The following is a 14803-nucleotide window of genomic DNA, read 5'->3' on the forward strand; positions in this document are numbered from 1 at the left end:
TTACAGTTGCATAGCCTCACTTATCCAACCCCTACCCCCACACCAGGAGTTGCGGCTCCAGCCGAGGAACCCAGAAACCCTCACTACTCTTGTTCCCCAGCAGCGTGTCCTGTGATTCACTGGAGACAATGGGGCCCTGACCGAGGCTCCAGGGGTGATGCTCAGCGACTGGAACAGAGGTGTCAATTTGAGTGATCTGAGACTTGAGTAATTCGTGGCTCCTTTTTTTCTCCTATCTGGCTTATAAATTTTTAGTCCATAGACTATCATGCCATATTACCCTTCTTGTGAATTTTCCAGACTTGAAATGATCTTCCTCTAGCTTTGCCTCTCATTCCATCCTTTGATGCTTTGTAGCCTGCAGAATTCTGCATCTTGAGCTCTAAGACCTTCCAGGAACACCTAGCATTTGCTTTGGTCTTTCGTCTATGTGATTTCTTATTGGTGAAATGTCTTACAGTAAATGTTCTGGAGTGGGACTTCCTAAACTTTTAAACCAAGGCCTCCCTCTGTAGGCATAGAAACACCATGCCCTTCTGTAATAGTCAAAAGTAAAAAGTAAATACTGTGAGTAGTGGCAGTGTAATTGGGAGGAAAAGCACTGCTTTTTCAAGCTGCAGAAAGGATTGTCCTCGCAGTTGGCTGAGTACATGAAGTAGGTTAAAATTTCTGGGGCTATAGCTGGATGCTGGGGCTTGCTCACAAAGTCTCCTGAGGCTGATCCAGGCAATGTGGGAGAGCTTTAGGTTTGAGAGGATGTGCAAGCAAGAGCCCACCGTTGAAATACGTGGCGGACAGTCCTTCCTCTCTTCTGGCTGTTTGCCCTATTTTGTCAGCAGGTTGATGCCACTAAACCTTAAGAACGACACTCCATAGTTAGCATGTGCTCAAATTGAGCTTGGCCACTCCCCCTGCTCTAACAGAGGCAACTCTAGTGTTATGGGATCACCTTTCTGCCTTTAGGGATACTATCAGCATTGAGGGGAGATCTTTAAGAAAGAAGGGACCTAGCTCCTCCCCTCGAGCTGCCTAGAACATAACAGACAAACCAGCGTTCATGAAAAGGAGAACATCAGGGCACTTATGACAGAGCATATGAGTCAGTGCCAAGTGCCCATAAGTGACGTGTCCTTATGTATCAGTAGTGGTGTGTCCTGTTCTCCTGCCATAGAACTGAAGCACTTAAGCACATGCATTTGTGGAAATAATCCCTCAGGGACAACGGGGCGGCCAGGGCAGGGTTTTGGCCTTGCCAAGCCCTGTTCCTCCTTTGGCCTCACTCTTCCACCTGGCTTTGGCTAGCCTTGGAGGCCCAAGTCCACTGATGTCAGGGGCGAGGTGGGTGCACATATTCCACGGGGGCAGAAATCAGTCCATTGGGAGCAGGACACATATCTTACAACTTCCTTTTATATTCATGTAAGACGAAAAAGATTAAGCTTCTCTGCAGTTAATGTACGGAGTCACTGATGTGTTCTAAAGGGCTGAACATTGTTGGTACTTGCCACCATCCCAGCCCTTCTCGGTTCCTCCCTGTCCTTAGAGGCATAAAGCCTGGACGCGACACTTGCCACACTCCTTTGCCAGTAGACCTGGATTCTTAGATTCTGCCCCAAGAGACCCTGTGCCCTGATTTGGGGAGGAGGGAGGTGAGGAGAAGCCGCTTCCTTCTGGTGGCTGCACAGGACAGGCTTTTGAGCATCAGCAGGAGGCAGATGTGGGGTTTGCCAGCAGCCTCTGGATATCACCTTGAGACTCACCCACTTCAGTCGTGCAGGCAGCTGAGACCACTGGGGGCAGGGGAGCTTCTCTGTGACTCTTGCAGTCCTGGATTTCTAGAAACTTCCTCAGTCCCTGCCTTAGTCCCTGCCTTCCAGGAGCCATATAAGCTTCTGATTCTGTATTAAACCATTTCCATTCTGAAGATTCAGAATGGCTCCTATGTTCCTGACCAGACCTGGACTTGTTTACCTTCTTCGGCATATCTGTCTTGTACAGGCCCACTGTTCAGAAAGAAGAGTAAAACTTCCATAGAAAGGGCCCTTTATATTATCTAGTTTAAGTAAACTAGTATATTTCATCAAATCTAAGACCTCTTTGATTGTAAGATGCACCACTGTTTAATAGTAAAGAAAATGCTACACATTAAACTATCACTCACCATTGATTATAAAATGCAAACTGATTTCATAGATGTTAACACGTGAAAAGATGGGTGGCTTAAGACATATAAAATGTTAGCTCTCAGAAGCTGAACAGGCGGTTTTAAAAGCTTAATGCAAACAAATTGCACTAATTGAATTGAAGACTAATACAAATTAAAACAAAAGCAATCTAATCAGATCTGCCCCAAATTCACAATTACCAAGGAGACTTTGAAATGTGAAATTATATCCATTGTCTTAAGTAAAAAGCCTTACCACAAATGTGTATTTTTTCTTTAGGTATTAACTAGTACTAGGATGAAGCCATCATATTTAGCAAGGCATTTAACGATTTCCTTGCATCCAGCCAAGGAAAAAAGGGGGAACTTGGAATGATTATAGATTAAGAGAGTCTTAAGAGGCATGTCACCCAAATGCAATGCACAGACCTCGTTTAGATGCTGATTAAAAGAAAACAACAGGAAAAACGAATACATGAGACAATCCAGGGAAAGGTGAATACCCAGTAGATATTAGATGATACTGAAGAGTTGCTATTAATTTCTAACAATGGTGCTAATTGGTATTATAATTATATTTTGAAAAGATGGTGCCCCTATCTCTTGGAAGTATCCTATTAAAACTTTGCAGATTAAATGAGATGATATCTGGGATTACTTTGAAATAATCCAACAGGGAAGGAGATGCAGATGAAACAGGGTTGGCCTTATGTTGGTATTTGTTGTGGCCAGTGATACATACATGGGAATCCATTATATAAATCTCTCTACTATCATGTATGTTTGAAATTTTCCATAATAAAAAGTTTAAGTATGCAGAACATGAAGACAAATTTCTCTATACTTTTCAGAGGTGTCTGAAGTCGAGCAACATTCACAACACAGAGGATTTCAGTAAATTAATGATTAATATTTAGACTTCTTGCTTGAGGTTTCTTAGTATTAGCCAAAGACAGCTAAGCCACCTACAACTGAGAAGCACCTGTTCTTCCTGTTGTGGTTGAAAAGGAAACAAGTTTGAAGTAATAGATGAAAAACAATACAGGACAAAGGATCAACTCATTCCTTTGTCAGTAAATAATTGGGAGGCGTGTAGAAAACAGGAAGACTTGAAGACACAAATCCAGATAAATGGCAGGGTGGCAGGTCTGCCATTCTGTTGAATGAAATGGCAGGTATTTCTGAAACTCATCAGTGTCTGGTGGAATCTGATGCTGCTTTCCTGGAGGAATTGATGGTCAGAAAGGGAAGACCCTCATCCCTTCACCCATACTCCTCTACACTCTGCCCTCTCCAAAGGGGCCTCTACCTCTAGGGTATTCTGGGGAATTCCTCCAAGTACAAGGCCTGGTGGTTTCAAAGTTGTTAGCACTCTCTCAGTTGGTTATTCCAGTTATTACCTCTCTAATTGTGTTTGCTTTTCAGACAAAGGGATTCAGTTCCTTTTTCATTCTTTTTCCCCATATACCGTCCTCTTCCATACACCTGAAGAAGCCCCTCATGACTCATATTTGCCAATATACACCGTTCTCCATGTTGGGAAGTCTCTCTCTCCCAGGAGAGTCCACCTAGGTCAACATCACCATGAACATCACTATGAAGTCACTACCTGTGGGTTTCCGAAGTCCATAAAATCCCTGTTTTTGGCCAGGCGCGGTGGCTCATTCCTGTGATCCCAGCACTTTGGGAGGCCGAGATGGACAGATCACTTGAGGTCAGGAGTTCGAGACCAGCCTGGACAACATAGTGAAACTTCGTCTACTAAAAATACAAAAATTAGCCAGGAGTGGTGGAGCACGCCTCTAGTCCCAACTACTTGGGAGGCTGAGGCAGGAGAATCACTTGAACCCGGGAGGCGGAGGTTGTAGTGAGCCGAGATCACGCCATTGCACTCCAGCTTACTCGCTCATGATCCGAAGTAGATGTCCTTCTGCCGGATGGTAATTTGGGGACCCAGGCTCCTTCTGTCTGTGGCTCCACCATCCCTAGGGCCTTGGGGTCCTTGGACTCCTGGTGGCAGGGCACACATCACTTCTGTTCCCATTCCATGGGCTGGACCTCAGTCACATGGCCACACCTCACTGTAACAGTGGCCAGGAAAAGTCTGTGTACCCAGGAAGACGAGGAAATGGGTCTTTGGTAACTAGCCAGCAGTCTCCACTATACATCACGTTCCTAACATCAGAACATCACCTGTTCATCCCTCTTGTAAGTTTGTCAGTTTCTCTGTGGCACCCCTCTAACCCCAGGACACTCACACACCTGGCTCCCCTTAGCCTCCTTCCCTGATATATTCTCTTTATGTCACTTAAACTTATGGCTGCTTAGATTATTGTTCCCAGCAATCAACTCTTCCCTGCAAAGAATATTTCTTCCCATCCATTGCCATGGAATTTGCAGTTTCTCCCTGAAGGCAAACTCTGTTGCCCAGCCCATTGTTGCACTTGGCCCTGAACCCTGCTTTGGCATTCAGGAGGTACACAAGTGAACTGAAGAGCACCACATCAAGCAGAAGCCTTCCCATGGGAGAGATCATCTGTCACATGCTTCTCCCTTGGCTGTGAGCACAGCATTGGCCAGACAGGGCTGCCCCTTCAGACTGGGTTCTGGAGCAAGCAAGAAGGCCTGCTGGGGCTGGGCCAAGGTCATCCTGTGGCCTCCTTCATATTATGTGAGCAAGAAGTAGTGTCTACAGTTGTAACTTACCGGGATTTGGGGATTCATTACCACAGCTCAAAAATGTGGTGAGATGTAACTGATACATTTCCTGCCACGGTTCATTCATTCATTCACTTGTTTATTTATTTGCATATTGGATGTCTTTCCCCACTAGAATGAACTCTTCATGAGGGCAGTGAGTTTCACCAGCTTTGATTCTGGCCATCAGGAATCAATTACTTGTTGATAGAATCGTAATCCTGGGAATCAGATTGAGGCTATTTTTAAGTAGCAAACACATACAGAGCCATTCCACAAGTGTCAGTGAATGACTGACATAAGGTGCCATTTGGCCTTTGGATTATTTTCTGGTTGGTTTCACTTCTGTGTTTTACATACAGCCAGTCAAGCACTGAAACTATAGGAAGAAAGAGGGAATTATTGGAAGACAGTGTGGCTCTGAAGAGAATTAAAAACTGGTTTAACATGACATCTTACTAGCAGCCATTGAGTCACTGACTCTCGACTTCTCACTAAATACCTTTCAGAAAATGAAAATGACCAGAACACAGGGTACCCCTGAAAATTAGAAGGGCAGCCAAGCTTTTGCCCATCTGGGAAATATTTCTACAACTCTCAGACCCTTGAAGCTGGATTGAGAAAATACATACATCATCAATTCTAAGATGTTCTTTTTTTCTCAGGCATGAACATGTCTGACATCTGGATGGGTTTTACAATCCACAGCGTCTTCAGATGCCATGTAGTATGGTCATTTGGGGCATGGCCATGCTGCACCCCTTGCGTTGTTCCTTCAGGTTATGTCAATTACCAAAACACCCAGCAAACCCTAGCCAAGGAGGTGGCTGCAACTCCTGGAGCTGGGGCGTGGGTAGCACATGTGGACCCCACAGGCACAGCACTGCAGGTGGAAGCTGAAACAGAAGAGCCCTGATGGGAGCACACACTGCCAAGTGGAGTTTTCAAACCCCGTGTCAAAGAACCAGGAAGTCAGGGAGGAAAATGCCCCATAAAGCACTGCAGACTGGCAGGCAGCTGGGCATGAGAGAGTGCACAGCACAGGCACCATCCCCAGCCTCAGGATGCTCACAGTCTATCTGGGAAGACAGCATGAAACATACAAACACCTACGTAACTCATGAGTGTGCAAAATGCGGCAGGTGGCGTAGCCATGAGAGATCCACCAGGCAGCCTCTACCTGGCTGAGAAGATTGTACAGGGCTTGTGGAGAAAGCATCGTTTCCACCAAGACCTGAAGGATGATGGGCAGGGGTCAAGGGAGGTGTGTGTTGAAGGCCAAAGACCCTGAGCAGGAGTGAGCTTCTGTCAAGACACACCTGTCCCTCTTCCAGTAGGTCTGTGGCTTTCTTTTCAAGACGTCCTCAGTACATCTGGTGATCATTTGATTGAAAACCTTTATCTTTTCCCCAGGATAAACCAATTGTTCCTACACTTTTCCCAATGGTTAAATTCATCACCTTTATCACACATTAAATCCTTATAAAATGTTTTAAAAACATAATGTATTATTTGTATGGAACAAAATTACCCCCAAACTTAGCAGCTTAAAACAACAAACACTTATGATCTCTCTCTCTCTCTCTCTCTTTTTGAGATGGAGTCTTGCTCTGTCACCCAGGCTGGATTGCAGTGGCGTGATCTCGGCTCACTGCAACCTCCGTCTCCTGGGTTCAAGCAATTCTCCTACCTCAGCCTCCCGAGTAGCTGGGATTACAGGCACCTGCCACCATGCCCATGTGCAGCTAATTTTTGCATTTTTAGTAGAGATGGGGTTTCACCACATTGGCCAGGCTGGTCTCAAACTCCTAACCTCAAGTGATCTGCCGGCCTTGGCCTCCCAAAGTGCTGGGATTACAGGCGTGAGCCACTGCACCTGGCCAAACACTCATGATCTCATGCAGTCTGATGATCAGAAATCTGGGCGCTGCTCAGCCGCGTGGTCCTGCCCCCGGGTCTTACAGGTCATACACACGCTGTCGGCTGGAACTGCAGTCATCTCAAGGCTTGACTAGGACGGGGCTCTGCTTCCCAGATGGCTCACTCACATGTAGGATGATTACACCTCGTCCCCGGAGTTAGCGCTGAGAGGCTTGTGCCCTGGCTCACCCCGCAGTCCCGGGATGGTTGGTCACCCACACACGTTGACTGGAGCCCTTGACTCCACTGTGGCTTTTGGCAGAAGGCCTCCATTCTCATGGGGCTGCCACCTCAGCCACCTATTCCCTCCGGTACAAGGCTCCCAAGACTGTGGCGGATGGGAGGCAGAAGCGATTCAGGAGAGAGGCAGAGGCACCCGAAGACCTTTCGCAAAATTGAGCACAGGTTCAGCAACAAGGAACATGTGAATTACAGGAAACAAATACTGTCTTTTGTAGCCTAGGGTCAGAAGTGACGACTTCTGCGGTGTTCTATTGGCCCGCAGACCATCCCTGATTCACTGTGGGGTGGATTACACAGGAGCGGGACTACCAGGGGATGGGGATCACTGCAGGTCAACTTGTGGGCTGATACCACACATGAAAAATGTTGAGCTTTGCCAGTGATTAAAGAAACACGAAGTAAAACGGGGTGTGTGTGATTCTTCACCTTTTATAAATTTAGCAAAGTCATGGAGGCCATAATCCTAAGAGAATTAGTGCAGGAACAGAAAACCAAATACTGCATGTTCTCACTTGTAAGTGGGAGCTAAACACTGGGTACTGATGGACATAAAGATGGCAGCAATAAAAAAGTGGGGACTACTAGATGGGGGAGGGAGGGAAGAGAGCAAAGGCTGAAACACTCACTGTTGGGTGCTATGCTCACCACCTGGGTGACGGGATCATTTGTACCCCAAGCCTCAGCGTCACACAATATACCCAGGTAACAAACCTGCGCATGCACTCCCTGAATCTAAAAGAAAAGTTGAAACAAAATTTAGCAAAGGTCAAAGCAATGTCAAATACTCATGCTAACGGTACGTGAATTTGGTGTAACATGTCCAGAAGGCAGTTAGGCGTCACAGAAAAAGCCTGAAAAAGGCACACACCTATTGATTTAGTAATTTCTCTACTTCCAATGTATCCTGCAGAAGTAACCACGTGCTCAAAGAGTAAGGTATTAGCAAGCCTGTTCATCACAATATTGTTAGCAATGACAAAGGGCTCATAAACAAGTCCACAATAGGGGAACTGTTGAAATTATGTTATACTCATTCAATGGGACACATTTGCAGTCATGAAAAATTATACAGGGGAAAGTCATTTATTCACATGGAAAAATACACGATATGTTGATCAAAGCAGGTCACAGGCAAATTTGTACCATTCCTTCTCCAGGGGATTCCATTGTGTGTTTATGCCCAGATATCTTTATGCGTCTAGAAGACATTTGGAAGATACACATAAACCCGTTTATAGTGGGTGTGGAGGGACAGGTGGGATTCTGGCCATGTTCTCTTTGTTTTGCTTATCTTCACTCTCTGATTTCTCTGCAGTGCATTGCTGTTATAATAATTGTTCAATTTCGAGAACACAGGCTATATCATGTCCAAATCACTGTGGAACACAAAAGGCAATAAAACATTGCCATTTAGCAGGCAGTAGAAACAGTCAAAACATAAGGAAAAAACATAATGTATGTCAGAAGACCAACTTAATGTAATGACATCATATAGAAATAGATTAAAAGTCCACGTTAAAAAGATTCCAGGATTGAAACAATCATATGCTTTTGCCTAACTTGTCATTTACCTTAAACATTAGAATAAAGGGTCGAGCTGGGCTTGGTAGTGCTTGCTGTTGTCCCAATTACCTGGCAGGCTGAGGCGGGAGGGTTGCTTAAGCCCAAGAGTTCAAGACCAGCCTGGGCAACATAGAGAGACCTATACATAAAGGACTGGATAGACCTATACATAAAGGACTGGACAGAAACTGATCAGCAAGCAAACAGAAAGTGTCACCGTAATAATACTGATCCAGGTGAGGGAGAATTAGAGGCAAAAACAGTCAATGCATCAGGACTGGCTATCTGGTAAGAGGTTCAAGTACAGATCATGAATGTGTGTATGATCAATTACACGTAATCAAAAGTAGAAAGCAGAACCAGATGGACCTCATGGATAATTTAATAGGAAGGCAACAGGAATGAAAGACTTTGTTCTCAGCCTTTGACAGATGTACACAAAATTAAATGGCAGATATTGATATCATTGTAAAGGCATTATTAATAAACATCAAATTCAAAACGGGAGCACAGCCTTTTCAGGATTCCATAGAATGTTCAAAAAATTGAGTACCTACTACGCTACCAAGAACCCTCTGAATGTCAGAAAGCGCAGTACAGGCTATGGTCTGCGGCAGAAAGTTGGAAGTTAATGAGACCCTCTGAGGCACTAACAACAAAATCAACAATCACCACCACCACCTTTCTAGGCAAAGCTTCTTTCCTGAACTTTCTTCTTGTGTTCCTGGCCCGTGTATCCAACCGTCAGCTAATGTCTCCACCTCCAAGCCACAGCCATCTCCTGTTCATCATCCCTGAGTCTTTTTCCATCCTCTTTTTTACCACTCTACCCCTCTCCAGTCCCGCCTGTGTCAACAGTACCCTCAGGGAGGAGTCATGAGTGTGGGTTTGGCATCTGCTACTGCCTGTGCACCCCCAAATCATTCCTAGGGACACCTGCCTGAGCCCCAGCCATCTGTATTTGCCCTCCCACTTCCTCAATGTCCTTGGGCACTAAAACTCCCCTGGAGGAGCAGGGGTGGGGAGGAATAGAAAGCAAGGAGTGGTGAAATGGCCACCTCCTGCGTCCTTTAGTTCTTATTGCAGTAGTTAGGATGGCATTTGGGTACTTCAATAGAGACAGCCTGAGCCCCCAGAGCTTCCCAATGGTAGAAACTGATTTCTCTTTTCTCTTCACATTGGCGGTCTGAAGGTGCTCCCACATCAGGGATCCATGCCCCTACCATCTTGTTGTTTTCTTTTCCTCAGCATGTGGCTTCCATCTCGTGGGCTGACATGGTTGCCATAACTCCTGCTGTCACATCCACATCCCCACTTGGCCACTCCTGGCCTCTGGAAAGTCTTGTGCCAACATGGCCACATGCCCAGCCCAGTCCTTATGCCTTCCTGTGCCCATGCCTCACACGATATCATACTTTCCCATCTCTTTCTGTCTAAGAGTGATCCATACACACCCATGATCTGATCTATCCCTGCCGATTCCTTTCTTTCTTATTGTGTTCCACACCCACACATGATCTGGCCTACACTCCTCCTTCTGCCTTGCTGTGTTCCATATCCACACATGGTCTCGATCTGCTCATCTCTTTCCGTCTTTCTGTGATCCACACCTACATATGGCATAATCCCAGCCCATCTTACTGTCTTACACTAATATATGCCCACCCATGTACTGCTCCCTGCCTGGCACTTCCTGTTTTTCTATCTATCATCCCACATGTGACCTGGGCCTTGCCCCACACATTTCTTTCCTGCTGCGATCCATCCACACACACAGTCTGGTCTATCCCTGCCCATTTCTTTCTTTTTCTAGCGAACCATACCCACACATAATCTGGCCCTGCCCATCTATTTCTGTCTAACCATGATTCCTACTCACATATGATCTGGCTCTGCCCATCTCTTTCTGTTTTCCTGTGATACAAATCTATATATTATCTCTGACCGCGATTTTTGTCTTAGTGCAATCCACACCCAATCGTGAATTTATCCCTACCCATCTCTTTTGGTCTAAATGTGATCTATCCATGCATATGATTTGGTCTCAGCTTACACATGCATTTCGGTCTTCCTGTGGTCCACACCAACACATGGTGTAATCCTTGCCCATCTCTTTTTTTCTTAATATGATCCATACCCAGGCACTACTGTGTCTCTGCTCTTCTATTTCCATCTTTCCCACACATGATTTGATCTCTGCTACTTTCTCTCTTGCTTCCTGTTTTCTGTACCCACATAAGGTCTGTTCCTACTGTTCCCCTTCTAAATGTGATCCACATCAACACATAGCCCTGCTCAGCTCTGTTTCTGGCTTCCTGTGATCCATGCCTGCACGTGATCTGGACATGCAGATCTTTCTTTCTTCCTGTGTTGCATACCCACACAGGATCTGTCATTGCCCTTCACTTTCTGTCTTCCTGTTCCCCGTACCCATACAGGATCTGGCTCTGTCCATCTCCTACTGTCTTCCTGAGATTCACAGCAAGACACGATCTGGCTCTGCCCATCTCTTTCTTTCTGTCTTTCTGTATTCCATATCTACACAAGATCTGTCATTTCCTCTCCGTTACTGTGATCCTGTGCTCCAAAACCACACATGATCTGGCTGTGCCCATCTCTTTCTGTGCTCCTGAGAACTATACCCACATATAATCTGGCTCCATCCTTCCCTTCTGTCTTCCTGAGACCAACACCCACACATGGTTTTGTGCTGCCCATGTCTTACTGTATTCCTGAGGATCACACCCACATAGGATCTGGCTCTGGCCACCTCTTTGTCTTTCTAAGATTCACACCCACAAATGATGTGGCTCTGGCCATCTCTTGCTGTCTCCCTGAGATCCACATGCACACATGATCTGGCTCTGCCCATCCCCTTTTGTCTTCCTGTGATTCAGACAAACCCACTATGTGTCTCTGCCCGTCTTTTCCTGTGTTCCTGGATACATACCCAGAAATGATCTGGTTCTTCCCAACTCTTTCTTTCTGTGTTCCATACACGTGCATGATCTGTCATTGCTTGTCATGTACTGTTTTCCCGTGATACATGATCTGTCATTGCCCTTCACTCACTGTCCCCCGATCCATACACACATGATCTGGCACTGCCCATCTCTTTCTGTCTTTGTGATATTCATGCAAAAACATGATTTGGCTCTGTTCATCTCTTTCTTTTTTTTTTTTTGCTGAGATCCATACCCACATGTGGTCTGTCCATTCCAACTATTGCTGTCTTCCTTAGATCCATACCGGCACATGATATGGCTCTGTCCATCCCTTTTTGTTTTCCTGTGATTCATGCCACACATGATCTCACTCTGCTCATCTCCTACTGTATTCCTGAGATTCATAGCTACATATGATCTGGCTCTGTTCATCTCTTACTGTCTTCCTGTGATCTATACCCACACATGATCTGCCTCTGCACATCTCTTACTATCTTTCTGTGTGGGATACTCACATATGATCTGTCATTTCCTACCAGTTACTGTTTTCCTGTCCTCTATACCCACATATGATCTATCTCTGCCTATCTCTTTGTCTTCCTAATATTCATATCCACACATGATCTGCCTGTGCTCATCAGTTTTTGTCTTCCTGTGATCCATACCCACACATTGTTTTATCTGCCCATTTCTTTTTTGTGGGGAAGGGGAGAAATTAAACCTTATTTATTTTAAAAACCAAACAACTAGGAAAATATATCACTGCCTGGAAACAGTGAACAGACAGGCTATATTATCATTTCAAGAAATAACCTGGTAAAACTGCAATGAAGTTGCTATCAAAACAATCAGGTGCCATGCTAGGGCATGAACACTGTGTGTTGCAAAGGCCCCAGGCAAAAATGGTCTTTGGTAATCGGGGACTGCCCCTCCTTTGCTACAGCTTATCTTAGCCCAAGTTGCTTACTTTCTCTTCCTTGAACTTCCTGTGGTCAGGGGTTTGTCTCAATTGGGCTCTGTTCATTCAGGGGCTATGTAAGCAATGCTGGATTTAGGCTTTCATTGCATTCTGTTCTATGAAAACCAGGTTTTTCCAAATCCACTACTTCACAACTCTCTTATAATCAACCAAGTAGCCAGCAACTCCTTCTTTCCTGCTCATTCCTGGATACTGGTATACATCACAACCAAAACCTCCTTTTCTTCCAGGGGAAAATGTGAGGGGAAGATCGTCCTGTCATTCTTCAGCAGACAGCCTCAGGGCCCATCGGCCAATAAGAGGGAAGCTCTGTTTCCCATAATTAGTGTGATGTCACTGCTCATGTTTTTGTGTGGTCCCCAGGCTGAAAGATGCAGTGTGTAAGAATTTTAAGAAGTGCACATCCACACCTTGATGGCCAGAAGAGGGTATCCACAAGGAACCTTTCAAACTTCTTATCTAAACTACTCTCCCTCCCAATTGCACATCTTAAAATCAACTTTATGCCCTTGAGTAAATAATTTTAAAAACCAAGGAAACAAAGACCCTGAAAACTCTTTTCCTCTTCCAAGTTAGTGTCCTCATGGATTTTGTTGCCCAGCTTCTGGAAAATGGTGTGGTGATGCCTCTGGGAAACAGGAGGTTGGCAACGAACAGAAACAGCTCTCCTCAAACTCCACCGAATCTGCCCTACCAGCCTGGTGGGCCCTGTGGAGGAAGAAGAATTTGGTCCTGCAGAGGGGTCTGGCTTGTGACAAGGGAGATCCCTACTGCCAGGACGAGCCCTGGCCACAGAAAATATCGACTTGAAAATATTTTCCTGTAATATCTCTGACCCAAATTTTAGCACCGTTTTTTTCCATTTCACTTTTTAGGATTGAACCAGTTTCCAGAGGCAAGTGGCATATGCCTTACACTTGGTGCCATCCTTAATTTCTTCATTCATGAACTTGGCTTAAAAGATTAAACTTCCCATTCCTTTTAAAAATATATTTTTGCACTCAGCCCCCATGGCCACTGGCAAAGACTTTTATTTCCCAGTGGATAAGAGAGACACCTTCCTTGCCTTGCTCATGGTCTGGATGAGGTGCGTGTGGCCATCCACACCCTTGGTCACACAATCTTCCAGTGGCTGCTTCACCTGCAGCTCCTTCCTCCCTGCATCTGTTGAATCTTTGGCTTTGTCATTGCAATGCATGGTACACCCGGTCAGGCAGTCCTGGAACTTCTCCAGCTAGCTGGTCCCCAAGGCTTGGGCTTGAGCCAGAGGCGCATGCCAGCACTCAATGCACCGGTGCACCTGCTGCATGTGCACAACAGCTGGTGCTGCACCAGAACATGAGGCCCTGCAGCTTCCGGATGGTCTATCTCTCCAGACTCTTCACCATGGAGTCCACCTCCTGCACCTGCAGCTGCTGCACCTCCACTACGACGAGTCTGCACTGCCCCCCTATTTCTTACTATCTTCCTGTGTTCCATGCCCACACATGATCTGCCTCTGCCCATCTCCTTCTGTCTTCCTGAGGTCTCTGCTGACACATGACCTGGGTATGCTCATCTCTTTCTTTATTTCTGTGTTCCAAATCCCATATGTTCTGTAATTGTCCTTCAGTTAGTCACTTTCAGTGATCCATACCCACACATGATCTACTCTACCCATCTCTTACTGCCTTCCTCACATTCATAGCACACATGATCTAGGTCTGCTAATCTCTTTCTGTCTGTCTGTGTACCATATCCACACATATTCTGCCATTTCCTATCATCAGTTACTGGATTCCTGTGCTCCATACCCACACATGATCTGACTCTGCCCGTCTCCTTCTGTCTTTCTGAGCCTCATACCCACATATGACCTGGTTCTGCCCATTTGCCTGGGCCTTCCTGAGCCTCACACCCACTGATGATCTGTATCTTGTCACCTCTTCCTGTCTTCCTGAGCCTCACACCCACACATGATCTGCCTCTGATCACCTCTGTCTGTTTTCTATGCCTCCCCCACACACGTGATCTGTGATTTCCTATCAGTTAATACTTTCCTGTGTTCCATACCCACACATGATCTGGCTCTGCTCATCACATTCATTCTTCCTGAGGTCCATACTCATACATGAAGGGACACTTTTACTGTCTTTCTGACATTCATACCCACACACGACCTGCCTCTTTCCATTGCTTACTGACTCCCTCATAGTCATACTCACACATTATATGATTCTGCCCATCTCCCACTATCTCCCTGGAATTCACACCCAAACATGATCTGCCTCTGCCCATCTCTTACCTTCTTTC

At 45.7% G+C, this 14803-nt stretch overlaps 1 pseudogene; it reads right to left on the reverse strand.

Annotated features, from left to right (window-relative positions):
* FAM136GP (family with sequence similarity 136 member G, pseudogene) lies at positions 12239 to 13960 on the reverse strand (annotated as a pseudogene).

This window comes from Homo sapiens, chromosome X (assembly GCF_000001405.40).
Source record: "Homo sapiens chromosome X, GRCh38.p14 Primary Assembly".
NCBI classification, from domain to species: domain Eukaryota; kingdom Metazoa; phylum Chordata; class Mammalia; order Primates; family Hominidae; genus Homo; species Homo sapiens.